Below are 27,544 nucleotides of genomic sequence, written 5' to 3'. Positions count from 1 at the left end.
TTGCTTAGATTTGGCATTTCCACCACTTATTCTCCTCTAAGCTTCACTTTGTTTACCTGCAAAATGGGAATGATTGTGCTTACTCAGGGTGTTGAGGAGAGGATTAGATAAGTGAATGACTGTAAAGCGCCAGGCACCTGGAACAGGCTCAGGAAAGGTTTGTTTTGTTACTATCATTGTTATTGTTATTATTACTAAATGTTCCACTTCTTCTGCACGTGCCCACCCAGTGGTCCACTATGAGGTTGAGATTTGGACAGGAGATGTGGGTGGCGCAGGCACCAGTGCCCGAGTCTACATGCAGATCTATGGAGAGAAAGGCAAGACAGAAGTGCTCTTCCTCTCCAGCCGCTCAAAAGTTTTTGAACGGGCGTCCAAGGACACATTCCAGGTATGTGGGGTCGAGGAGCGGGGGTGCCAACAGCAGGCTCAGTGGACACCAAGATGCTTCCCTGGGTGTACTAATTTCCTCAGTCAATACTCACCCGAGAATGGGCTGCCTCCCTCCAGTTGGGTGGAAAATGCTTCCTCTCTCCAGACCTGAGCTTTCGGCCTAAAATGAGGGGATTGGACTAGATCAGTGATTCCCACCCCTGGCCTCATGTTACAGTCACCTGGGGAGCTTTAAGAAAAAAGTGCTGCCTGGTGCACGCCCCATACCAGGCAAATCAGAACCTCTGGGGATGGGATATATTTTCTGGGTGTACGTTGAAAAGCTCCTCCAGGGATACTAACATGCTGCCGACCCTGAGAACCATGGGAGCAGGTGATTCTAATCTTGCAAAAGATGACACTAAGGCTGCAGTTCCTCCACTCATTCCCAGCCCTGTGGCCTCTGAGTCTACAGTTCTCTCAAGCCTGATGTCAAGGAAATGCTTCCCAGCCAAGACACTGAGAGACTTGGAATTTTATGGCTGTTTCCTGAGTATCCCAGGTCTCCGTTCTTCCTTTCCAAGTCTTTCAATAGAAGGAAAAAAGAGATAAGAATGTGGGCATGGTGTTGGCAAGAGAGGAGGATGCAAGGGTGGCGCCCCTTAGGAGAAACATGAATGTTTTATTATAGATATGACAATGTGTGTGCATGTGCAGATATATGTGTGCAGGCAGCATGTTCATGCTGGGTGCCTTGTGTTTCTGCATGCCAGGAGCACCTTAGCCTTCAGCAAAGAGTCCTTACCCGGTGCCCAGGGAAGACAGTCCTGGCTGAACTAGGACCTGGGCCAGAGTCATAAGTGTCTGGAACATCAGAGCTGGAAGGAGCCTCATTGAGCCAGACACCCTCATACACTGCTGAGGAGGCAGAGGACCAAGTATTTTAGCTCTCTGAGCCTCCACTTCCTCATCAGTTAAAACCTAGCTTTATAATACCTGCCCGGCTGGCTTCACAGTCCCTGTAATGATCAAGAGTCAATGTCAGGGAATGCACTTGGGATGGAGTGCCCAGTTATGGAGATGGAACTGGATAGCGTGTCTTCTGGATGCCAATTTACTGGATGTGGTGGTGGATGAAGGCACGGCTGGGCAGACAGATGTGAGGGAGGCCAGTGGTGCAGCAAGCTGGCCTCCTTGGCAAGGTTGATTGCAGGGGTGCTGTAACCTGGGAAATGCTGAAGAGGAGAGCTAATGCCGTGAAGAAGTGACTTACCAGGTCCAGAGCCTTTCTCCTAAGTAGCTGAGAAGTATAAATTCCACTCTCCCAGGGGCCCTGGGCTCTACCATGACTGGTAATTTTCTGGCAAAGGTGGTTTGTTGACTGCATTGTGGACTCATGAACAGGGGGTCAGAAGGCCTGAGTTCTCATCTAGGTCTGGACTTGAATTGTAGGACACTGTGGAACTCATGGGACAGCCTTGGCCTCAGTTTGCCCTGGCACTCAGTGAAAGAACTGGTGGGACAGGCTTTGAGAAGGATCAAACCCCAGACAGGGGCTCATCAGCATCAGGAAGCTTGGGAGGACTCTGACTAGAAACAACCCCCATGTGAGCCCTACCCTGAGTGCTGCAGGGGACGGACCAGACCCTACCTTAATGTGGGTCCTTCCTCAGAGCCTGGGGCTCAGGACAGAGCTCAGGTCTCATGATCTAGAGTCGATGATGCCATCAACACTGCCCTTTGGGCCAGTTATGTGCTATGCCCATCCTGGTAGAGACTGAAAATGATGGTCTCCGCCTTTAAGGAACTCATAATCAAGAGGGCAGAGACCAGCTTGTGAGGATGAAGAGGGCATCCAGGCCAAACCGGCACCACAGCTAAACCCTGGACCCCCTCTCTGCTCTTGGGGAAGGGGCAGTCAGGCTGAGGCCATGTGCTCAGGGTTGGGGGAGGAGGGAGCTTGGGCCTCTGTGGGTGTGGGTGAAATTTTTGTTATTGAAAAAGAGCACTTTTGTTTTTTGCTTATTACGAAAGTTATATACGGTTAACACTGAAAATTTTTGTAAAGAGAACACAGAGGCACAAAGTTAAAAAAAGTGATGAAACACAGGAACCTGAATGAATAGATTTTAGCTGCAAGTAGAGGAGGGGGATAAAGGCAGGCCAAGTAAGGAAACTGTATGAGCCATGATAGGGACAGAAATCATAGGAATGAGGCGCGCGCGCGCGCGTGCGTGTGTGTGTGTATACGTGCAGGCATATGTGTTTAAGAGAGAAGAGGGAGACCAGCTTGCCCACACAGAAGTTGGAAGAAATAAACTTTGTTGGAGGATGGGGCCAGGTAATCCCAGGGGACCCAGGACAGGTGTGGCCGGAGAGAGGGAGGTGGTGGAAGGATCTGAGCACAGAGGCCCCAGCCCTCTCCATCCTGCAGCTTAGCAAACAGGCCTTGTGCCTGGCTCTTTGTTGGGCGGGGGTGTTGGGGGCGTTGGGGAGGACGCTGGGGCCACGACAGCCGCTGCCCTGCCCTTTGAACAGCTTGAGGCGGCCGACGTGGGCGAGGTCTATAAGCTCCGGCTCGGGCACACGGGCGAGGGCTTTGGGCCCAGCTGGTTCGTGGACACCGTGTGGCTGCGGCACCTGGTGGTGCGGGAGGTGGACCTCACGCCGGAGGAGGAGGCCCGGAAGAAGAAGGAGAAGGACAAGCTGCGGCAGCTGCTCAAGAAGGAGCGGCTGAAGGCCAAGCTGCAGAGGAAGAAGAAGAAGAGGAAGGGCAGCGACGAAGAGGACGAGGGGGAGGAAGAGGAGTCGTCCTCATCAGAGGAGTCCTCGTCAGAGGAGGAGGAGATGGAAGAAGAGGAGGAAGAGGAGGAGTTTGGGCCGGGGATGCAGGAGGTGATTGAGCAGCACAAGTTCGAAGCCCACCGCTGGCTGGCCCGGGGCAAGGAGGACAACGAACTTGTCGTGGAGTTGGTGCCAGCTGGCAAGCCGGGTCCTGAGCGTAAGTGGGTCGTGGGGGGTGGGGGTGGGGAGGGAGTGGCCAGACAGTTCCCCTAAAGGGGGCCCACTGGGGGCAGGGGGCCTAGATCCCCCTCACGTGGAGGCCAAATAGGTGGGCACCCATCATGGTTCCCAAATAGCTCTCTTGACCTGTGTGTGAAATGCCACCATTGACACTGCTGTTTGGGGATAAGCATGGCGCTTGTTCTGAGGTTCTCAGGAAGAATTGATGACTTTGGGAGGAGCCCTGATATGACTCAATACAACTGACTGAGGGGTCATGAGGTAGGAGGGCTGCCTGCTGGCTTCATGGTAAAGGAGTCTTGGGTTGGGAGTGTGGGCAGTTTCAGTCCCAGGTTAGTGTAGATGCATCTGAAGATCCCTCTGTTCTAGGATCTGGCTGGATCTGAGAGGCTGTGCCTCAGGTCCAAACACCCCATGGCCATGAGGCCCTCCACACTGCATCTTTCTGTGTCTACAGGAAACACCTATGAGGTTCAGGTGGTCACGGGGAATGTGCCCAAGGCCGGCACTGATGCTAACGTCTACCTAACCATCTACGGCGAGGAGTATGGAGACACGGGCGAACGACCCCTGAAGAAGTCAGACAAGTCCAACAAATTTGAGCAGGGGCAGGTAGGGTGAGGGTCTCTGGCCCCTGGGTGGGGGCTGTGGGTTTGGTGCCCTCTGAGATTCCCATGGCAGCCCATCGCAGCACAATGGCTGCTGTGTTTGGCAGTGTGACTTGTTCATCCCACCAGGTTTCATGGCAGTACCTCTTCAGTAACACTGATACTTTGTGGAGGGGTTATGAGAGAATTGCAGGCAGGGCCCCAGCACCTAGAGCCCATGGGCCAGCTGACCCACAGGAACAAACAGAGAATGGCGTTGAGTGGCAGATGCTGAGGCACTTGGTAGGGATGCGGGGGTTCAAGAGGAAGTCCTCGCCGCAAGATGGTGTCTTGGGGGAAAACTAGGGGGAGGGAGCAACTTAAACTGGGCCTTGGCAGGTGAGTATGGTGTAGACATATAAAGGCAACAGTGGAAGATGTTCTCAGAAGATGGAACCACATGAGCAAAGATATGGAGGTGGAAATGGGGGAGGCCAGTTTAGGACAGTGTGTCTTCCAGCTGAGCTGTGGTCGGTGCTAAGCCCCAGTGGATAAGCTTGGATAAGAACAATTTAGGGTGTGGGGTGGGTGGGGTCATGAGAGGCTTAAGAGACAAGCTGAGAAGCCAGAACTGTATCCTAATGCAGTGGGAATCCATGAAAAGAAATACACATACCTTACTCTTCCAGGTGTAGTGGGAAAGTCATGAAAAATAAAGCCGTCATCTTTGCCCTTCAAGATTTTATAATATCCCCTGGCTAGAAAACTATCTCTTATCTCACCCTTCCCATTCCTGCCTCTACCCGAAAGCCAAATTCTCTCATTAACACAGATTTTTTAAAAATGAACTAAATTAATTAACATATTTCTGGGCTCATTTCTTGATTTATTTCAGGGGCCCCCTGCTTTTTCTTTAAAGAATCTTCCCCTTGACTTGAGGATGTAGTTTATTTCTGCGTTTCAGTGTTCTCCTTTAAAAATTATAGCCACATATTTCTGGATTAGGAAAAAATTTCTATAGAGGACTACATAACTTGTGCAACTGGTAAAATTTGAACATGGACTGTATATTATATAATAGCATTATGTTGATGTTAAGTTTTCTGAATTGGATCATTCTAGTGTGATTATATGAGAATATCCTTGTTCTTGGGAAATCCATGTTGAAGAATTTAGGGATGAAGAATCATGGTATCTGCCACTTACTTTCAAATGATTTAGAAAAACATACAGCAAGAGAGAGAGTGCAAGAGAGATGACAGAGTGAGAAAGCAAATGTTACAAATAAGTGCAGAATCTAAATGAAGGCATATGAACTTTCATCATACTATTTCTGAAAGTTTTCTGTAGATTTAAAATCTTTTTCAAAATTAAGAGTCAAAAAAGTTATATCCAAGAAGGCCCCATTTACTTATAGGTTCCTGGTGTGGTCTGCTTCCTCCCGTGCATGGAGCAGTGTGTGCATTCACATGGTGTGATCCATATGGCCCTCTTCACACCTAAATGGTGGGCAAATCCGTCTTCAGTTTCTGACAGTCACTTTGGATTTGCACAGCACCAGCTCATAGCAGGTACTTAATACAAATATGTGATTGAAGCAGATTATGCACACACCTGCACACATTGCAGAGGGTTTCAGTGCACCCCCCTCTCTTGCACACAAAACACCCACCACAGATGTGGGCATCCAGCAAACCTATCTTCTCTTCTGCCTCTCAAGGTCACCTTCACTCTTCCTCTCCTCCTTCCACCTTCCTGGACATGAGAGTGAGAAGATCTCCTGGCAGGGACAAGTTAGGGAAACAATTGTGCAGACCAAACACCAGACTACTAAGTGACATTCTCCATCATCCCCACTCCTGGTTGCTTTGGGTCTCACCATTGGCCTCTGGCTGGCTGCCCTGGTTCTTGGGAGGATGGGGCTGATGGCCATGTGGGGAGGGGTAGGTCTTACCCCACTGAGTGTTCCCTGGCCCTTCCCAGACAGACACCTTCACCATCTATGCCATTGACCTGGGGGCCCTGACCAAGATTCGGATTCGCCACGACAACACAGGCAACAGAGCAGGCTGGTTCCTGGACAGAATAGACATTACTGACATGAACAACGAGATCACGTGAGTGTGGGGGCAGTGGGCAGGGAGGGGTGTTGCTCTGAGGGAGGCCATGTCTGCCACAGAGGTAGTCCTGGAAGAAGACTGGGGGTGGGCCGGCTGTGACGGTGGAGGGTGAGGGTGGGCTGGGTGACACCTAAGGGTGAGGTGTACTGGCCGTGACATCCAAAAGTAAGGGTGGACTGGGGTGCACTGAGAATGAGGGTGGGCGGGTATGAGGGTAAGGGCGGGCTGGGGGTGATGTCTGAGGCTGAGGGTGAGCTGGGTTATGTCTGAGGGTGCAGGTGGGCTGGGTGTGACATTGGAGGGTGAGGGTGGACTGGCTGTGACGTCGAAAAGTAAGGGTGGACTGGGTGACATCTGAAAATGAGAGTGGGTGAGTATGAGGGTGAGGGTGGGCTGGTGGTGATGTCTGAGGCTGAGGGTGAGCTGGATGACATTGGAGGGTGAGGGTGGGCTGGCTGTGACACTGGAAGGTCAGAGTGGCTGTGACGTCACAGGGTGAGGGTGGACTGGGTGACATCTGAGAATGAGGGTGGGTGTGTGTGAGGGTGAGGGTGGGCTGGCTGTGATGTCTGAGACTGAGGGTGGGCTGGGTGACGTTGGAGGATGAGAGTGGGCTGGCTGTGACACTGGAGGATGAGGGCGAGCTGGCTGTGACATCCGAGGGTGAGGGTGGACTGGATGACATCTGAGAATGAGGGTGGGCAGGTATGAGGATGAGGGTGGGCTGGTTGTGATGTCTGAGGCTGAGAGTGGGCTGCGTGACATCTGAGGGTGAGGGTGGGCTGGCTGTGTTGCCTGTCATGGCCACCAGAGCAGGTTTGCCCACGTTGCAGGCTGGATGGGCATTGCCTCTCTCCCTCTTCTCTCATTGGCAGCCCCTAGTGTCACCTGCCCTGTGAGATGACAGTCCAATAGATCCCCCAGACCAGCAACTCTTGAGGTCCATCTGTTTAGAGAGACAGGATTTCCAATCCCTGTCAGACCTTCCTTGGTCCAGTTTCCATGCCTAGGCATAGCTCACCCATAAGCCTCTCAACGTATAAAGCAACTTCTAGTACATTCTTTTAATATTCTATACCAGGGATCAGCAAACATTTTGTGTAAAGACCAGATAGTAAATATTTTAGGTTTTGCAAGCATTTGGTCTCTGGAACAACAGCTTTGCTGGTGTAACACAAAAGCAGTCATAGATGATGCCTAAATGATTGGGCATGGCTGTGTCATTTTGACATGTGAAAATTATATGAATTTCAAATTTCAGTGTTGGACACTGAAATTTGAAATTCATATAATTTTCACATGTCAAAAAATATTATCCTTCCTTAGATTTTTCCTCCAGCCATTTAAAAATGTGAATCCATGCATAGCTTATGGATGTCCGCAAGCAGGGTAGGCCCGATTGGGCCTGAAGGCCGTAATTTGCTGACCCCTGGTGGAGGCTCACAGCTGCCACATGAGTTGGGCTGGGAAGAGAGTGTTATGTCTTCCCATAGGTCCACACCCCAGGGAGGTGAAGCCACAGCCCCATAATCAGTCAGTGCCACAGCTAGGACCAGAACTCCAGACTGTCTATGTTGAATTGAACGTGTTTTCATTAGGCCTCATTGCCCCTTGGGTGTAAGGGGCCCAAGGGCAAGAGAAAGGAGAGAAGTCCCCTTGTATGAGTGGAGTGGGACAGAGAAGAAAGCATGAGTGATCCTGAGTGGGCTTTGGGGCTGCTGAGGGCCTGCCAGTGCCTAGAATGTAATGGGCACCCTATCAACAAATATTTGTTGAATTAAATCAACTTTCCAGCCCATAGACTTGTTGGGCTCCCCTCTGTGCAGGGCAGGAGGTGACAGGGTTCTCCCATCTCCCACCCCACCCTCCCCTACCAGCCCGAGGGAACACTGAACCACAGCTCACAGACAGCCCATTGTCATGGTTTTCTGTGAGGTCATTGTGAAACCACATAAAGACCGTAGGACAGCCCCATGGCTGGGAACCAGGGTCCTGACCTGGAGTCTGACCTCTGCCAGAAACTCATCAGGTCACCCTGGACAAGTCATGCCATCTTTATGGGCTTTTGTTTCCTCTTCTGATAAATGGGCTTAATGTTGCCAGCCTAACTTCTTAAGATGTTCTGAAAATCCAAGGCATTTAAGCTTGGAAAGGAAAAAGTGCCACAGAACCATGAGGCTGGGGACAAACTGTGAACATCCCCAGCTTCCCCTTGCAGCTCCATCAGGGTTAGTAATTCTCTGCCACTGATTTGGCATTTCTCGGCTAGCCCAACAATTTAAACATTATTATAGCTTTACAATCTATAGTAATGCCTGTCAGTACTTGTCCCCCTTCATTATTCTTTAAAAATATTAGCTATTCTTGCCTTTTTCAAATCAAGACATTAAGTGACTTGAAAAAAAAATCCTCTTGGAATTTTGATTGTTATGCCATTAAGTGTATGTGTAGAGAATTGCATATTTAGAATAAGTGCTACCCTCCGGTACACTTTTCCATTTATCCAGCTGTTTATGTACCTCAGTAATGCTTTACAATTTCCTACACATAACTGCTACACATTCTTGTTAAGTTTATGCCCAGGTATATTATATTTTATTGCTCTTGTGAATAGAGTCTTCTCATTACTCTTCTTTTCCCCCCTCCCTTTCTCTTCTTTCTTCCTCCCTCCACTCTCCCCTTCCCTCATCTCCTCTTCCCTCCCCATCTCTTTCTGTTGGCATGGCTAGTTGACAGTCCTTTGCTTCCTTTGCTATTGAAGTAGCAGTCTGCCAGGGCTCTGTGATGAGCTGGCCTTAACAATCTTCAAGCCAAGAGCAACTCTATGCAAAGCCTACTGTGGGAGCTAGACAAAAAATTATAGAAGTTCAGAAGAAACCGAATCAGAATAGTGAATCTCCCCTTTCTTGGAGAGATACCACCTTTTCTGTCAATACCTAGGGCCTTCCCTAGGCTCTCCATGACCTTTATGAGCTCTGAAATAAGGCCTTTGCAGCCAAAAGGATTTGAGAACACTGACATCTCCCTCACTGTTGACATGTCCAGTCAACATCCTCCATGACTAGACCTCTTGGATGCCTCTCTGCCACTCATGCCCTGTCCCCAGCCCATTGGCAGAACCTGTTGGGCCTTCCATCAGAAGAGCATGAGTCTGACCTCATCCCTTCTATCTTCACCATCCCCACCCCCTGATCGAAGCTTCCTGACCTGATCCATGCTTGCCCAAGGCCCTCCTATTGCCTACAGCAGCCCAGTGACCAGGATCACACCACTCCTCTGCTCCAAATCCTGCAGAAGCTCCTGGTCACTCAGAGTCAAAGCCAAAGCATGTTTGGTGGTCAGCTCAGCCCGCAGGTCTGCTCTATGCCCCTCATCTCTCTATTCTGATTCCCCCTTGCTCACTCCTTGCTGTTCCTTGAACCCAACAGACATGGTCCCACCTCAAGGCCTTTGCATTTGCTGTCCACGCTCCCTAGCAGTCCTTCCCCCAGTGGCTCCCTGTCATGCTTTCTTCAGGCAGGCCTCTGCTCAAATGTCACCTTCTCAGTGAGGCCTAGCGTACCCTCTTCCCCTCATTTCTCTTGTCTGTTTATTTTTCTCTATATCAGCTTATCATCTGACCTACAAAAAGCTTGTGTATTTAGGTGCTGCTCATCTCCCCACAATAGAATGTAAGTTCCATGTCGTTAATGGCCTCATCTGTTTCATTTACTGCTGTGTCCACCCCAGCACGTAGAAGAATGTCTGGCACACTACAGGCATACCATAAATACTTATTAAATACACTAATGAGTAAAAATGATGGTTAATATGTTGATTTATTCATTAATTTGACAAACACATGCTGTGCTAAGTGCTGGGGGTTAACTAGCTGCTCAGTTATGACTCTGTTTTTGAAGAAAGGAACCCTGATGGTCTAGGAGGCTGATGATTTAGGTTTAAGTACTTTCTCTTCCACTGTTATGTGGCCTTGGGAAAGGCACTTTACTCCTCTGAGCCTCAGGCCTTCCATCTGTACAACGGGCATAATAAACCTCACCCAGGAAATCATCATGAGGACTAGATGAGAAAATGTGTTTAGGCGCCCAGCACCCTTCCTGATCCCAGTGCAACACAGCAGTAGTTCTTTCCCCTTGGCAATGAGAGTCCAATTAGTTAACATGGAAAAGTGGCTTGACAGCTGGGAAAGGCTGCAGGAATGCGTGGGATTATTCTTAAGGAGCTAACACTGTTACCAAGTGAAGGAGATAAAACACAGGTGACTACAAGGCACAGTGACAGTGGTGGTTGTCTCAGGGTTGACCTCAGAGGAGGGAGTCATGGGTGGGGACATCTTTGGGGCCAGATGGCATCTGAGATGGGCCTTCATGAGCAGCAGCCTTGTTTGGTGCTTGGGAAAAAGAACATTAGAAATGGTTGAAAAAATGTGATGCAGGTGGCACAGAATTGGGCAATTGAGGGGCACACACAGAAAGGAATGAGTAATTCTATTTGGTGCATAAGGGACATGAAGGGGTGGGAAACAGGAAAAACGGAAAGGGAGGCTGGAGAGGAGCAGATGAGGGCATCCAAAGCCATGCTGAGGAGCTTGAAAACACACCCAGGCTTTTGGTTGGCCAGATTTTACAGGGAGGAAAAGACAGAAGCAAGAGAATGCCAGCTGGGGTCAGGCACTGGTGGGAGATGCTGGCCTGAACCGAAAGGATTGGGAGAAGATATAAAGCTGTGGAGGCCTTGGCTCCCTGCGAAGTCACCCCAAGGGAGAGCTCTGTGTGGTCCAGGGGCTGTGCTGTCCAGTTGGTAGATGGCAGTCCGGGTCTCAGCAGAACCACTCCTAGCCCTCCTAGCCTCAGAGGCTGTTTGGAGAGCAGAGAAGCCTAAGATGGTGGAAACACAAGGAGGAGGGGGTTGGGGGTGCAGGTTTATTGATCTGCAATTCAATTGCCAAAAAGAAAATGCTCTTGTTTCTAAATGGAAGATATTTGAGGTCCTTTATAGGAGTCCCAGGCTGGCAAAAAGTGATTAAGATTGCATGAGAAAGCCTGTTTAATGCTAGTTTGCAGCTGTGGGCTGTGAATGTTTTGTTTTGTTTTGTTTTTTTACTGCCTCAAGTGAGTTGGATTTAAAAAAAAAATTGTGTAAGAAAACACATGACATACAATTTATTACCTTAACCATTTTTAAGTGTACAGTTCAATAGTGTTAAGTATATTCACATTGTTGTGTATCAGATCTCCAGATTTTTTTCATCTTGCATGACTGAAACTATACCCATTAAACAATTACTTCCCTTTTCCACCTCCTCCCAGCCCCTGGTAACCACCATTCCACTTTTTGTCTCTATGACTTTGAGTACTCTAGGGACCTCATAGAAATGGAATCCTACAGAATTTGTCTTTTTGTGTCTAGCTTGTTTCACTTAGTGTGTTGTCCTCAAGCTTCATCCGTGTTGTAGTACATGACAGGATGTCCTTCCTTTTTAAGGCTGAATAATATTTCATTGTATGTACGTACCACCTTTTTAGATGGATTTTAATGGGGTGTCCCGGGATCTGAGGTCTCCCTTGGGTCAACCTGGGCTCTGCACACAGCCTCACATCCCTTTGGTAAAGGACTACTCTTTTTACAAGATTGTGATATCTTTTTACAAGATTGTGATATCAGAAAATTTTATGTTTGAACTCCTCCTGCCTTCTCTAGCTTGAGAGGCCCTGCTCCTTGGCCACTCTGAAAAAAAATGACAGTTTACAAAGGCACTAGATTGATTTTTTTTATTAATAGTGATGTCATATTTAGAATAAGAAGAGGCTAGTTTTTCCTTCCCTCCTTTGTGCTGCTCAGACAATTCCTGGAGTCTAAGGGTTGGCACCATCTTAGGCAAAAGAATGCTAGAATAAAGAACGTGCATCTTCAAGGAAAGAGTGGTGGCTAATTAAGGAACTTAGGAGTTGGCCGGGTGTGGTGGCTCATGCCTATAATCCCAGCACTTCGGGAGGCCAGGGTGGGTGGATCACAAGGTCAGGAGATCGAGACCATCCTGGCTAACACGGTGAAACCCCGTATCTACTAAAAAATACAAAAAATTAGCCAGACGTGGTGGTGAGTGCCTGTAGACCCAGCTGCTTGGGAGGCTGAGGCAGGAGAATGGCGTCAACCCAGGAGGTGGAGCTTGCAGTGAGCCGAGATTGCGCCACTGCACTCCAGTCTGGGAGACAGAGCGAGACTCTGTCTCAAAAAAAAAAAAAAGAAAAGAAAAGAAAAGAAATTTAGGAGTTATCTCAGGAATTTTGAAGAAGGGGATGAGAAAGGTTTACCCCCAGAGGAGACAATGGCTTTCAATTCTATTGATATTATGAGTGCCTTGTATGCCAGGGGATGTGGATACAACAATGAGTAAGCAGACTCTGCATTCATGGGGTCATAGTTTTCCCAGCAGGAGGAACAGACAAATATACTCCCTGAGCAACCTCTTCCATCCTTATCACTTCAATTACCATTTATTTGAGAATAATGCTCAAGTTGTATCAGTCAGAATAGGCTAGGTTCTGCTAAGTAACAAACAGGCCTAAAATGCCAGTGGCCTAACACAACAAACATTTATTTCTCACTTATATGTCTGATGTAGGGTATCAGGGGACTTTGCTCAGCATGTTCACTCAGGGACCCTGGTTGATGGAAGCTTTTCCTCAACATATGCTTCTGTGATCGTCCTTATAGTGGAAAACTGATTTGACAGATCACACGCTGACTCTTTTTTTTTTTTTTTTTTTTTTGAGACGGAGTCTCGCTCTGTCGCCCAGGCCGGACTGCGGACTGCAGTGGCGCAATCTCGGCTCACTGCAAGCTCCGCTTCCTGGGTTCACGCCATTCTCCTGCCTCAGCCTCCCGAGTAGCTGGGACTACAGGCGCCCGCCACCGCGCCCGGCTAATTTTTTGTATTTTTAGTAGAGACGGGGTTTCACCTTGTTAGCCAGGATGGTCTCGATCTCCTGACCTCATGATCCACCCGCCTCGGCCTCCCAAAGTGCTGGGATTACTGGCGTGAGCCACCGTGCCCGGCCCACACGCTGACTCTTAAAAATCCCTTACAGCCCAGGGATTCCATGTATATTAACAAATAACCTAAAAATTCAGTGTTCTTCAGCATCCAAAGCTATGAGCCTCTAATATTTGGGTTTCAGAACACATGACAGAAATGGTGGGATATTTGGGAGTACGTTGTCTTTAATTAGGGTATCTTTGTTAAGTCACTTAATCATTGGCTCTGCTACTTTGTCACCTTGTCCACATTTATTGGCTTGTTGATTAAATGAGATTGTGCTACTTTCCTTTTTCTTTCAATACTCTAACTAGCTGCATTTTTAAGATCTGCAATAAAGTCTAATGCACTCAATTTCAAAGACAAAGAGGCAAATGCCAAAAAAAGCTGGGAATATGTTTAGTGTCCTGGGTTTCATCCACATTTGATGTGATATTTTATGTTTTCTCTACCTCTGTTCCCAGCCCTGAAACAAAGATTTATGTTTTAATTGATGGCCTGGGGGGTCCTATAAGATCCTTAATAATTAAAGACAGATACCATTCTTGAATATTGTTTCATGTGGCAAATATGTTGGGTGGGATTTCCAGAAAGGGTTGAACAAAAAGTTATTAAATTTTTTTCCCTTAAATTTTATCTAATAAAGAGTTGTCCTCTGGAATCTCCCATTCCTCCAGGGATCCTAGAGGTCCCAGAATGTTGAGACAGAAAAGACCTTCCAGGTCATCTCACCCAGCCTTCTGGGTGGTACAGTTTAATCCCTAGGATCTCACAGCTTGTTAGGGGCAGAGGAGGGAAACAAATTCAGAATTCCTGAGTTCCAGATCCATGCTTTTGTCATTACACCACTCTGCCAGGATTTACTCATACTTGATGTTGTCCAGACTTTAGCTTATAAACAAAATGGAAAATTCTGTATGAAATTATTTATATTGTACAACACTCAATTTTGCAATCTCATTCCATTTTTTACTTTCAAGTGGAGTTTATACTTTTAACAGTTTCGAGCTTTTGGTTCGATGCTCAGTTTCAACCTCCTGCTTACAGAAGCCCTTACTCTTTCCTTCCATCATCCTTGTTTAGGAGTGTGGTGAGCTTATCTGCCTTAGAACACCTGCATTCCTCTCATCTCCTTTATTCACTAAAAAACCCCTGCCTGGTCCCCTCCCTGGTATCCAGAAGCCTGGTTGACCAGGATGTATTCCTGGAGGAGGAAGAGGCAGGGGTCAGTAGGCCTGGTGTCCTAAATCTTCATGTGTGCTTGTTGGCACTGTGGGGATAGAAGCTGAACGCCCAGCGCTCAGGCCATACCTGACTCCTGCTTTGGTTCTGTCGGTACAAGGAGCAGGTTCTGAGAGGAGACGTGCTGCTCTCTGCAGTAGTGAGCATGCTGAGGGGCTTTAAAGTCATGATGCAAGTATCTCAAGGACAATGGAGATTTTGCTCCAGGAAATCCAGACTCTGTGTGCATTTTCTCTTTGTATGCATGGGAGGGCTTGTACCTTTTCTGTCTCTTTGACTTTTTTTCTCTCCCTCCCTGGCTCTTTCTTTGTGTGTGTCTCGTTCTGTCCTTGTCCTCTGCCAACTTCCTACACACTCTGTCTCCACCTCTGCTCTGACCCCAGCTCTTTCTTTATTTCTGTCTCTCTTCCTTAATTGGCCATAATTTATAACTATAGCCTATTATTCATAAGTTATTTGATTGGATAAAATGTTAACTTTCCTATTCATACATTTAAAGGCTAAGAAGCAGAACAGTGTGCATTTTTCTCTGAAACACTAATTTAATGGTAGCTTAGTTCATATTGCCCCAGGTCGAGCTCCTTTAAATCCATGCCATCAGTGTAACGTTGCCCCCCTCAGCACCCCATCTGAGCCCATTGACTGAGATCTCGCTCTCTGGTTCTGCTCCTCTAACATTTTGATACTTGGAGGCAATGAAGACTCTAGCAAAATGTGGGACTCAGACAGGGATGGGACCTTTGGCCTGCACTGCCCCTACCTCTCCAGACTTTGAGCAGTCCCTGAGTGGCCCTTGTGCATCAGGGCAGGGGTGGGGAAGGGACATAAAGAGGGTGGAATGGCCCCAACTTAGAGACAGGCTGAATTCTGAGACCCTTTGTGTTATTCTGGGAGCTTAGCACCCAGAGAGGATATTCCCAGACCACAGCGTCCAGAGATCCCAGGCATGGGCCAAGGAGAATGAAAGGGAAGGGAAATTACAAGAGCGACAATAGCAGTAGCAATGCTTACTGAGAGCCTACATTGAGCCAGGCATTTTTATAAGCATTTTATAAAGTTAACACATGTAATCCTCACAACACCCTATGAAATAGGCAATATTATGCTTATTTTATGGTACACTGAGGCACAGAGTAGGGTTGCCAGTTAAGTTTGAATTTCAGATAAGCAATGAATAATGTTTTTGTATAAGCATGACTCAAATATTAGATAGGACACACTTAAAACGTTATGCATTGTTTATCTAAAATCCAAATTTAATAGGGATTTTGTAACTATTGGCTAAATCTGGCAACCCTAGCACAGAGAGATAAGGACACTTACTCAAGATTGCACAAGTATTAGTGGTAGAGCCAAAATTTAAACCTGGACAGTCTGACCCAGGGGAGAGTCCTTAATTACCCCACTGTGCCTCCCATCCCTGGCCCTACCTTCACTCTGTCCAGGCACCTCCCTTGTGCTGGGTGTTACCTCCATGCTGAGGGGTCTGACTTGGACCTCCCTTTCCTAGATGGCCCCAGCAGTCTTCTATGCCAGCTCCTCAGCCATACTCTCTGTACCTTCTGAAAGCAGACATAATTGGCTCATTCCATTAAAATCCATTAGTTCAACACTTATGTATTGTGCACCTACTATGTACAACCCTCTCTACTAAAGTAGCCCTGGCTAGCAGATTCATTCTGGAAAGGGTTGGAAAGGTCCCCGTATGTCCCTCTCCTTCTAGATACTTCCATCCAATATGACCCTGATTGAGGCTCTGTGTGCTCCAGGCAGGTCACATAACAATTTTCAATGGAGTGTCTAGAGCCAATGTCCCCAAGTTTGTTCTCTACCCCAGGCAAATGACTAATGGAGTGATTCCCAGGCTGGGTAGAATAGCAGGGCAATGCTGTCAGGGGCAGACAGGGGAGAGTTTGGGACCCCATAGAGGGCCTCTCATTCTCAGCCCATGACTGCTCCTGGACGAGACCTTTCTAAGAGGACATTCCAATCTTTCCCTATCCACCCCCACAGGTACTACTTTCCATGCCAACGTTGGCTGGCAGTGGAGGAAGATGATGGCCAGCTGTCCAGGGAGCTGTTGCCAGTGGATGAGTCCTATGTGCTGCCACAGAGCGAGGAGGGTAGGGGAGGCGGTGACAACAACCCCCTCGACAACCTGGCCCTGGAGCAGAAAGGTTTTCTAAACTAGAGCTGATTTCTTTCTCCAGCACCCCTCCCCTCTGCCTCTCCCTAACCCTAAGTCTCCATCTTCCTTCCCTCCCCTGTGGGCTCTGGGAACTTCCTCCCTTGACAGTCTATTGTATTGCCCTCTCATTCCTCTGTGGCAAGACTGGGGAGGTAAAGGGGGCATAGTCTCACATATCTAGTGTAAGGCAGTATAAAGCACACAGCTTAGGACTGAGTTATTGTCAGAAATGAAATGGAATGGATTGGAATCAAATGGAATGAATTGGAATGGAGTGGAATGAACTGAATTGGGATGATTGGAATGGAATAGATTGGAATGAAATGGGATGGGTTGGAATGAAATGGAATGGAATGGAGTAGAGTGGAATGGAATGGAGTGGAGTGGAATGGAATGGAATGTGATGGGTTGGAATGGAATGGAATGTATTGAAATGGAATGGAATGCATTGAAGTAGAATGGAGTGGAGTGGAGTAGAATGGAGTGGAGTGGATTGGAATGGAATGGAATGGGATGGGTTGGAATGGAATGTATTGGAATGAAATGTATTGGAATGGAGTGGAGTGGAGTGGAGTAGAATGGAATGGAGTAGAGTGGAGTAGAATGGAATGAGTGTAGCCACTTCTGATTCAGTCTTGTGCCCTCCCCTATAGGCACTCAATGCATTTTTGTCAAGGGAAAGAATGAACAGTAACTTTCAAGAGTTCTATGATGCTCCCCTGAAATATGCATCCCTAAAACTCCTCCCAGCCAGGAGGAGTCAGAATGGGGCTCCTGGCTGCTGAGCCTCTGACCCTCAAAGTATCCCCTAACCATCCTATCAACTCTATTGATTGAAGGCTTCCTGTATAAGCCAGAGGCAGAGGACTCACATCTCTACCCTCTGGAAGTTTCCAGACTAATGGTGACTGCAGAGTAACACATGCTGAAAAAAAAAATGATTCTTAGAAATGGCCAAGAGGCGCGGTGGCTCACGCCTGTAATCCCAGCACTTTGGGAGGCCGAGGCGGGCGGATCACGAGGTCAGGAGATCGAGACCATCCCGGCTAAAACGGTGAAACCCCGTCTCTACTAAAAATACAAAAAATTAGCCGGGCGTAGTGGCGGGCGCCTGTAGTCCCAGCTACTTGGGAGGCTGAGGCAGGAGAATGGCGTGAACCCGGGAGGCGGAGCTTGCAGTGAGCCGAGATCCCGCCACTGCACTCCAGCCTGGGCGACAGAGCGAGACTCCGTCTCAAAAAAAAAAAAAAAAAAAAGAAATGGCCAAGAGGAACATAGAAACATACTTATTACTAATCACTGGGCTCACAGATACAGGATTGAAGGGGCAAGAGAAAAATTGGAGTGATGGGGTAGAGGGAGTGAATCAAGGAAGCCCTTCTAGAGGAGGTGGCTGTCCTCTTTCCTCCTTTCATGAAAGGAACAGTCTACAATTCATTGCTCTATACTATTCTCTTGGCAGATAAATCTACCACATTCTCAGTGACCATAAAGACTGGGGTTAAGAAGAATGCGGGCACAGATGCTAATGTCTTCATCACACTCTTTGGCACACAGGATGACACTGGTAAGAAAGCAGTGCAGGGCCAAGATTCACCCACATTCTTCCCCAGGGAGACCAGAAGACTCAGCAGAAATTTCCAAGGGGAATCCTAATTATGCTTTTGTCTCTCAATAGGATGCAAGCAATTAGCCCCATCGAGAAAGGCAGTTCCTTTTTTTCTAAAAATTTTCTTTTTCTCTGAGCCAGCTTTCTTTTTCTGTTCTAATGGTGAAGGTAGCCCTGACTCCACCCAATAACAATCTGGGACAAGATGGCTTTGCCCAACTTTCAATGAAATTCAGCCATGATACTCTCAGTATGAGGCACTCCAGGCATTGTAGAGTTGTTCAGGAGCCTTTGCTCAGGTACTCAGAGAAGGTGGTGTTTAGTGTTGGGTCCAGCCATCTGCTCACGCCACTGTCCAGCCATTCTGTTGAGTTTAGAGAGGAGTCAGTCAGTCCCTCAAGTAGTCATCATATATTTGCTCAAAATCCTGCAGGTCCAGAGCCTAGTGCCAAGCATTATTGAAGAATAAATGGACCTAACCCTTGACCATGGGGTGCTCATATCTACTACAACAATGTGCTGGTAGAGAGCATGGAGACTCTGAAGCTTGTCTGATTGGTTCAAACCTCCACTCCACCATTTATTAGCTGTGTGACATTGGGCAAGTTGCTTAACCCCTCTGTGCCTTAGTTTCCTCTATTTATAAAATGAGGATAAAATTAGTATGTGCCTTATAGAGTTGTAGGTCTAATGAAGTTGAACATGTACAACATTTGGGACAAAGTGGCACTCAATAAACATTAATTAACATCAATTATTTAATAGGTTGGATAAAGCAGATAATATATAATGATATAATTAGGTCATAACCTACAAATGCATGTGATTGCAATCATTCCTGAACCATGATCAAAGAAATTAATCGGCTTTGGCAACTGCTTTTATTATCTGAGGCCTTTCTATGTGTTAGACAAATTCTTGAGCATCCAACAGTCATCAACTCATTAAGTCCTCACAACAGCCCTACGAGGAAGGGACTAAGACCTGTCCTTTTTTGACATTTGGAAAACCAAGTCTCAGAAACATTACATAATTTTCCCAAGGCCACCCAGTGGTAAGTGGCAGAGCTAGGCACTGGACCAAGGTCTGTCTATCTCTCTGTATACTTAAACCAGTCTGTAGTGAGTCTAGGAATAGCAGAAGACTTTCTACATGAGGTGGGCCCAGAGCTGGGACTTATTGGGGTACAGGGACTTAAAGGCAATGCAGTGCATCCTGAGGCAGGAAGACATAGCGATGACTCTGAGATCACCTCAGTTTCAGACTGACACTACAGGCAGTCTCAGGACTGATTATATATGTGAAATAGCTGGGGGTTGGGGCATTCAAATTCATCCCTCCTCTGTCATCCAGAGAAGATGCTCCAGAGATTCTCACATGTCCCATCCCTGAAGGAAATCCCATGTTTCCCCAGGGAACATAGAGAGTGTGGCTTTGTCACTGGCTGACTCTCCATGTAGAGAGTTGTGAGGGTATGGAGGTGGTGCAGCATTGACTTAGAGCTCCACCACTGTCTCCCGGATGATTTTGAGTAAGGTATCTCTTTCAACATAAACTGGAAATAAAAATGCACACCCTAAAGGGTTATTGTAAAACTCAGTGAAAGAACACACACCAAAAAAGTGCCCACTGTGAGTTGAACAGTGAGAACACATGGACACAGGGAGAGGAACATCATACACCGAGGCCTGTCAGGGGGTGGGGGGTTAGGGTAGGGATAGCCTTAGGAGAAATAACTAATGTAGATGATGGGTTGATGGGTGCAGCAAGCCACCATGGCACATGTATACGTATGTAAAAAAACCTCATGTTCTGCACGTGTACCCCAGAACTTAAAGTGTAATAAAAAATTTTTTTTAAAAGATAAAAAGAAAATATGGTGTATATACACACCATGGAATACTACTCAGCCATAAAAAGGAATGAAATAATGTCTTATACAACAATTTAGATGGAGCTGGAGCCCATTATTCTAAGTGAAGTAACTCAGGAATGGAGAAACCAAATACTGAATGTTCTCACTTATAAAAGAGAGCTAAGCTATGAGGATGCAAAAACATACAAAATGATATAATGGACTGTGGGGACTCATTGTGGGAAGGTTGGGAAGGGGATGAGGGATAAAAGACAACATTGGGTACAGAGTACACAGCTCAGGTGATGGTGCACCAGAATCTCAGAATTCACTACTAACTCACCCATGTAACCAAAAACCACCTGTACCCCAAAAGCTATTGAAATAAAAAATTTTTTAAAATGCCCACTGTGCAAAGGTGGCCAATGGATGATAATTGCACAGTCTAAATTTGGTGGAAGTTCAGAAATTTGGTCATTTTGAAAAGGGATTAAAGGTTTGGGTCTGACTAGGCTTGAAAGGCCTCAGGTCCAGCCAGTCATGCTGGGGTCATCTGATCCACAGGAATGACCCTCCTGAAGTCCTCCAAGACAAACAGCGATAAGTTTGAGAGGGACAGCATTGAAATCTTCACGGTGGAGACGCTGGATCTGGGAGACCTGTGGAAAGTCCGGCTTGGCCATGACAACACAGGTGTGGCTTCCCTCCCCTCTGTTCCTTGCTAAGACTTTAAGGACCATGGACAGGTCCTTGTGGGCATCTGGGAAAGATTCTGGAAATTTGAATGCCATCTGTCTTCTGTAATGACACAGCTTCCTTAATCCCTTTAGCCCAGTAGAGCCGAGAGAGTCCTCAGCTGCACACAGAGTTTCTGGCCTAATTAGTCTAGAGCTGTACCTGGACACTGGTGATTTTTAAAGCCTTTATCAACCCCAGTGTCGGTAATTTTAATGCACAGCCAGATATGAAAATCTCCGATCTAACTCAGTAGTTCTTTGAGTGTGCAACAGGATCACCTGGGGGGTTATTAACTCACAGATTTCTTGGCTCCACCCCCAGAGCCTTTGATTCAATTGCTTCATTCCTATCATTGGGTAAGATTATAAAGCTTTTGTAAACACAGGCTCTTCCTGGCATCCCTGAGTTCTGTTTGAAGCCCCTTCTTCAAGGAAGGACAGCATCCTTGCTTCCTCTCAGTGCCCTCCCACCTCAGCCTCCCCCTACTCTCCTGTCATCTCCTATTGATGCTCTTTTACTCTTACTAATTTCACTGACAGCAGCCTGGAGTGTGATCCAGCTTCAACATCTGGGTGCACATTTTAATGGGAGTCACTTTAGCAATGCTGCAAGCAAAAGGGATGTCATGTTAATGATATCAGCCAGCCACCTAAGGAAGGAAGTCAGGAGTCCCTGAAGTTACCCACAGGAAATCATCTCTGCTCAGGTCCTTGATGGGTTTTGTGTCTCCTCTCTCTCTAGGCAAGGCCCCAGGCTGGTTTGTAGACTGGGTAGAGGTGGATGCCCCATCTCTTGGGAAGTGCATGACGTTTCCCTGTGGCCGCTGGCTGGCCAAAAACGAAGACGACGGGTCCATCATCAGAGACCTCTTCCATGCAGAGCTTCAGACGAGGCTGTACACACCATGTAGGAACCACACACGGCAAGGCCAGCCCTTCTCTGGGGCCCCATCACCAGCTACCCCAACTCAGCCCCAGTTCTTCCTTCAGGATTGACTGTGGGCCAGGCCCACCTTGAAGATTTTGGTCTTTCATCCCTGTCCTGAATTTTCTGACTCTGTGGGGGCTGTGGGCAGAGTTCTGGACCCAGGAAATGAAAATATGAAATTTATTCTAAACTCTACTCCAAGCTAGCTGGTGACAACATGTAGAGAACCTAACCTCTCGAGGGTTCAGATTCCTCATCTGCAGCATAGAGATAATAATGCAGGATGATAGCAATATCCAAAAGGAAGAAAGATAAAGGTCTAACTGAGGAATCATTATCAACCCTGTCACCAATCCTTACTCCAGTCATTAACATGCCAAATAAGTCAGCAGTATAAGATTTTCTCAGGTGGTATACATGACTGCCAGCCCCACAATGGCTTGAAAGGGCCCTCACTTATGGGTTGAAGGGAAACACAGCCTGGACCCTGCTAGACCCAGAATTCAAAAAAAAGGTGAATGTAATTCCCTTTTCTAGCTAAGGGGAAGAAGGGAAGGGAGTAATTTAGTGAAGTTTTGACACTTCCTTTCCACTGTCATCATCAGAAAGAATGTATTAAATGTTTATAGACATGTAAGTATGTAGTACTATGTACTGGGAATCAAACTGAAATTAACTAAACTCTGAAAGTCTGTCTGAATTTGGTAAAATCTGAATAAATTCCAGAGCATATAATTTTTTCTAACTAAATAATAAACTGTACCACAAGATTTCCCCCAAACAACTCATACTTAATAGCATGTATCAGTGATGAACAAATTTTTGCCTAAAGCAATAAACTGAAATGAACAGATCATCAAAATATCTTCTGATCCAAAGTCTAAAATGAAGTGACATTTCTCTGGCTGGGCATGCCCAAAGCCAGCCCTGGATCCAGCCTCTATTCCCAGGAGTCACCTGCAGGCGAGGACAGACTCTGGCCTGAAAGATGTGCATGGGGTTGGCAGCAGCACTGGGTGGGACCCTTGAGGACAAACGTATCCATTTCTCCCTACATGCCCTAGGACATGCCATACCAAAAAAAAAAAAAAAAAAAAAAAGATAAAGAGTTTGTATGGTTTGACTTTGAATATGTTCAGTTCCAGCCTGATATTAAAACTAACCTAAAGGGTGAGCTGTTCCTGCCCAGAAACTTCCAGGGGTTCTCCTACTGCTGGCCAGTCTCAGGAAAGCTCAGATTCTGTTGCCAGCTTTTCTGTTCAAGGCTTTCCAAGTCTTGGGTCAGGGAGAAACCCCAGAGGCTCAGAGGAAGGGACTGTATGCTGCAGAGATGACACCTCTGTTATTGGTTGAGCACCCAGCAGGGTCGAGGCTGTTTCCCTTCAACCTATAGGTGAGGGCCTTTTCAAGCCATTGTGGGGCTAGTGGTCACCTCCCTGGGCTGTCTCTTTCTGTTGCCTGTGGCTAAGCAGCAGTACTTATCTCTAGTTCACAGCAACAAGACTCCTAGAGGCTGGCAATGCACGCTTTAAGGTCAGGCAAGCCTGGGTTTGAGTTCAAGTTCTACCATGTGACTTTGGGCAAGTTACTTCACCTCTCTGAGCCTTGGTTTTCTCATTTGTAAAATGGAGTGTAATAATACCTACTCCCTCAAGTCATTGTGAGGGTTAAAGGAGGTAAGGACCATAGCATGCTCAGTACAGAGTCTGACATGTAGGAAGTCTTAATAAGTGATAACTATTACTACTATTACTACTGCAAGTATCACTACTACAGCCCTACAGCAAAGTAGCTATGATGATAAATGAAAGCAACGTCTTCATCTGGAGAAGGTTAGGGCCACAAGAGAGAAGGAAGCTTGTATTGTGACTCCTTTCAAGGGCCAAGACTACAGGATAGAGTAGACATCCACTTGAACTGTTTCTCTGGGTTTTCAATATTCTTCTTTTTTTTCTTAAATTTTTTTTTAGTTACTGTGACCCAGAGCAATTGTACACATTTATACGCATATGCAAAAAATAAAAATGTCACAAAAATTGTACTCTCATTATGTGTGATATACAGTGATATTTTTCTATTAGATTTTTTCAATTCCACATATTTTAAAAAATACTGTTGACAACCCACTAAACTCATTTCACAACCTGCTAATGAACTAACCTATAGTTACTATAGCAATACATTGTTTCAGGTGGTCTCAAACTTTAGTATAAAGTATGAGTTAAATATTCAGATCCCTAGACCCATCCTGCAGAGAAACTAAGGCAGGTTTTGCAAATCTGCATTTTTTTTTTAAGAGAGAGTCTCACTCTGTTACCCAGGCTGGAGTGCAGTGGCGTGATCTCAGCTTACTGCAACCTCCACCTCCCAGGTTCAAGCAATTATCCTGCCTCAGCCTCCCAAGTAGCTGGGGCTACAGATACCCACCGCCACGTCCAGCTAACTTTTATATTTTTAGTAGAAACAGGGTTTTGCCATGTTGGCCGGGCTGGTCTTGAACTCCTGACCTCTAGTGATTAGCCCACCTCGGCCTCCCAAAGTTCTGGGATTACAGGCATGAGCCACCACACCTGGCCTGCAAATCTGTATTTTTAACAAGCATCCCCAAAAGTTTCTGAAGCAAAGGTCTTCCACCCATGCATAGAGACATACTGGTCTCTGTTCACACCGGTGGCTGCCCACCAGGAAGCTGCTTGCTAACAGCACTGATTTGTCAACCCTCTTTCTAGGGGAGATAGTCCCTGGTGGGACCAATAAACCCTGGTGCAGCCCTCGCCTCCTGCTATCCTCTCCCCTATAAAAGATGTGTGTAATGTGACGGAACCTGAATGAGGGGCTGGGTGTGAGGTGGATGGGTTGGGGCAGGCAGGCCATCTGGGAGCAAGTGAGAGACTGGGAGCAGGGGATACGGAGAAGAGTGAAAGAATGCTCACTACCGTAGACTGGCCGATCCAGTCAGCAAGTTGCCCCCTGAAATCTAGTGCTCTTGTTTGTGGAGTCTCTTCAGCCAAGCACCATGTCGAGGGCACTTTACAGACAATGGACACTGAGGCTCAGAATTAACTTGCCCAGATTACACCAATGGTCAAGACAGAGCTGGGATTCCAGCCTGGGCTTGTCAAATTCTGAAGCCTGTGCTTTCAACCAGTCTGCTACATGTGCTCTGGCATGTGAGAGGCTCACACACCCTGGTCTGAGGGGGTGAGGGTTTTCCATGGGGGCGGGGCAGGACAGGACCCCACCTGCAGTTGCTAGGCAACCTTGTGAAGGTCCAGGTCCCTGAGCAGCAGTTCCCCGGGCAGCAGTTCCCCAGTGCAAGGGTCTGGGCTGGTTGTGCTGGTGAAGAACTGGCTCTCACCATGTTTGTTTTCTGTTCTCTCATCCACTCTGGCTTTGCCCTCTGACCACCACCCTCAGTTGTTCCTTACGAGATCACCCTCTACACCAGTGATGTCTTTGCTGCTGGGACAGATGCCAACATCTTCATCATCATCTATGGCTGCGATGCCGTGTGCACCCAGCAGAAGTATCTGTGTACCAACAAGAGGGAACAGAAGCAGTTCTTTGAGAGGAAGTCTGCCTCCCGCTTCATCGTAGAGGTACTTGGGCTCAGCAGGCTGTCCAGGGATGGAGTAGGTCAGACAGAGGGAGAGGAGAAGCCCTACCTTCAGGGCAGAACACATGCCCTTCATCCTGATGCACTGCTATTAGAGAGGAAGGTGAGCAGCTCATCCTACCTTCCTGGGCCTCAGTACATCCAAGCAACCAGGGGAATGGTGAAGCTCACCCTGCTCCTCCTGGACTGGTGTCAGGATCAAAGGCAATGATGAGAGACAGGACTTGGGAACACTAGAGGCATAAAGCCAACGGGCCTCTCTAGAGCTTCCAACAATAGACACTTATCCACAGGTGGAACATAGCTCCCAGACTTGCTGGTTGTGGGGTTCTGCTGATACTGCTAGCCAGGGAGAGGTGGAAATCCCACCACCAGTGGTCATGGGCTAGGGTCTCCTGCTCAGCTCTCAAGCTATGGTCAAACAATTTAATAGAGAAGAGCATTCTGTATGTTCCATGGCTTCCCATCAGGTCTTGACAATGGAGGTGCTGTTGTTCAGTGTTTACTGTGCATGTAGGTCATAATGCCTTGGAATCCATATACTTCAATTTAGTGCATGCACACTGTGCCTGCCCTGTGTGCTCAGCTGTGCACTAGGTTGGGTGGGAGACACAAGAGAAGGGGAGAGCTCAGATCCTGCCTGAGAGGGGCTTACGGTCAAGTTGGGGACCCCAGTCCTCCCAACAAAGGTAATGAGAGAGTCTGGTGATGGTCATTGTCATGGACCCTGTGGGTCAGAGGGCACTGTCATAGGCTAACCCACTTAATTATCATAAAAACTCTGTGCTATAATTGTCCCTGTGTAAATATGGGGAAACTGGGGCATGAGGTTTAGTTGCTTCCCTAAAACCACACAGCTAGGATGTAGTGGGAGCAGGATTGAAACCCAGGAGGACTGGCTCTGGAATATGCACTCTTAGTTAGCTACTGCAGTAGACAAGCAAATGGACTGAGCTTACTATCACTGTTTAGAGAAGGGAGAATGCTCCTTGGAAGAGGTGGCTTTGAGTTGGATCTGAAAGGGGGCATTAGCAGGGACAAGGAGGAAAGGCATTCCTAGCAGAGGGAACAGCATGGCCAACAGCTCAGAGGTGGAAATAAGCATGTGGCTTGAGGTTTGAGTAGAAGCCATGGGAGGAGTGTGATGTAACTTGGATAGATGGCAATAATGAAGCAAGACTTAGAGGGGAAGCGCAGGAGACCCTGAAGGAGAAGAGCCAGGAGCCTCAGAAGGCTGGGCCCTCCAGGCAGTGGGATCTTTGGAGATGTGCCCCTTATTTTCTGATAGGAAACAAAGCCCAGGGCACCTTCCTTCTTCCTGGGCCAGTCTCTATCCCGGGGGATGCCTTGCTCTCTTCCCACCTTCTCTGGAGCAGTCAGCACTTGTGGGAAGGTCTGTCACCTTTGCTGAGTCTTTTAACGAGAAAATTTAAGGGTGATTCATTAATCCACACAAAGCTAACATCTCATCCACCCAAGATGTCATGGTGCGTGAGTCATCCAGGCCTGATGCCGTCAGCGGCTGAGGCTGTGATCACACCTCGGCATGACTTCCGGGGAGTTTTTATCAATGAAGTCCCCACTAATAGACAGCTATAATTTGCCAGTAATTTTGTTGCTATTTTTTTTTCTTTTCAAATCTCTCTGGATTTGGGGGGAGTGTGAGAGCTGGGAAACAAATGAAAGGGCTTTGTCTCCTGGCCTCTGTCTCTCTGCCCACCTGTGTCCCTCTCTCTGCACTTCCCTTTTCTGATTGATTTTCAGGTAGGAGGTAAAACGCTGAATTGCGGAGTCGGTAACCCTGGATCTGATTCTGGCTCAGCCACTATCTCAGGAGGAAGCCGCTTCCTCTCTCTGTGGCCCCCTCCTAAGAAAAGATGTTGACCAGGAAAAGAACAATAATAGCTAAGAGTTATTGAGAACATCCAAGGGCCAGCACAGTTCTAAGGACCTGATGTGTATCAACTCATTTAATCTTTATAACATTTCCAAGACGTAGTTAGTATGATCATCCCATTTTACAGATGAGGAAATAAAGTGCAGAAAGGTTAAGCAGACTTACTCAAGGTGTCTTAAAACAGCAGAGCTGGGATCTAGACTCAAGAAGTTCAGTTCCAGAGACTTCTCTGCCTAATTCTTTCACCTTCCAGAATACTAGGGTCCCTTCTGATGTTGATGTCCTCTGAGTCTTTCTCTGAGGCCCACCAACCATGAGTAGCTGTCCCCT

General features: G+C 47.3%; 1 protein-coding gene across 17 annotated transcripts in view; it reads left to right on the top strand.

Annotated features, from left to right (window-relative positions):
- LOXHD1 (lipoxygenase homology PLAT domains 1) overlaps positions 1-27,544 on the top strand; it is a 180,260-nt gene that overhangs the window by 93,765 nt on the left and 58,951 nt on the right. For 10 of the 17 annotated variants that reach the window (NM_144612.7, NM_001384474.1, XM_047437289.1 and 7 more), the window contains 9 exons: positions 231-391; positions 2,911-3,373; positions 3,854-4,008; positions 5,967-6,100; positions 16,398-16,561; positions 18,035-18,139; positions 20,601-20,729; positions 21,516-21,680; positions 25,119-25,300. In NM_144612.7, coding sequence (NP_653213.6) covers positions 231-391; positions 2,911-3,373; positions 3,854-4,008; positions 5,967-6,100; positions 16,398-16,561; positions 18,035-18,139; positions 20,601-20,729; positions 21,516-21,680; positions 25,119-25,300 — 1,658 coding nt within the window. Of the gene's footprint in view, positions 1-230; positions 392-2,910; positions 3,374-3,853; positions 4,009-4,143; positions 4,287-5,400; positions 5,555-5,966; positions 6,101-6,686; positions 6,809-16,397; positions 16,562-18,034; positions 18,140-20,600; positions 20,730-21,515; positions 21,681-25,118; positions 25,301-27,544 lie in introns of those variants that run through there. The other 7 variants (XM_006722391.4, XM_006722388.4, NM_001308013.2 and 4 more) reach the window with 5 other exon arrangements.

This window comes from Homo sapiens, chromosome 18 (genome assembly GCF_000001405.40).
Source record: "Homo sapiens chromosome 18, GRCh38.p14 Primary Assembly".
In the NCBI taxonomy this organism is placed as follows: Eukaryota; Metazoa; Chordata; class Mammalia; order Primates; family Hominidae; genus Homo; species Homo sapiens.
This window is presented reverse-complemented; position numbering and strand designations above follow the sequence as displayed.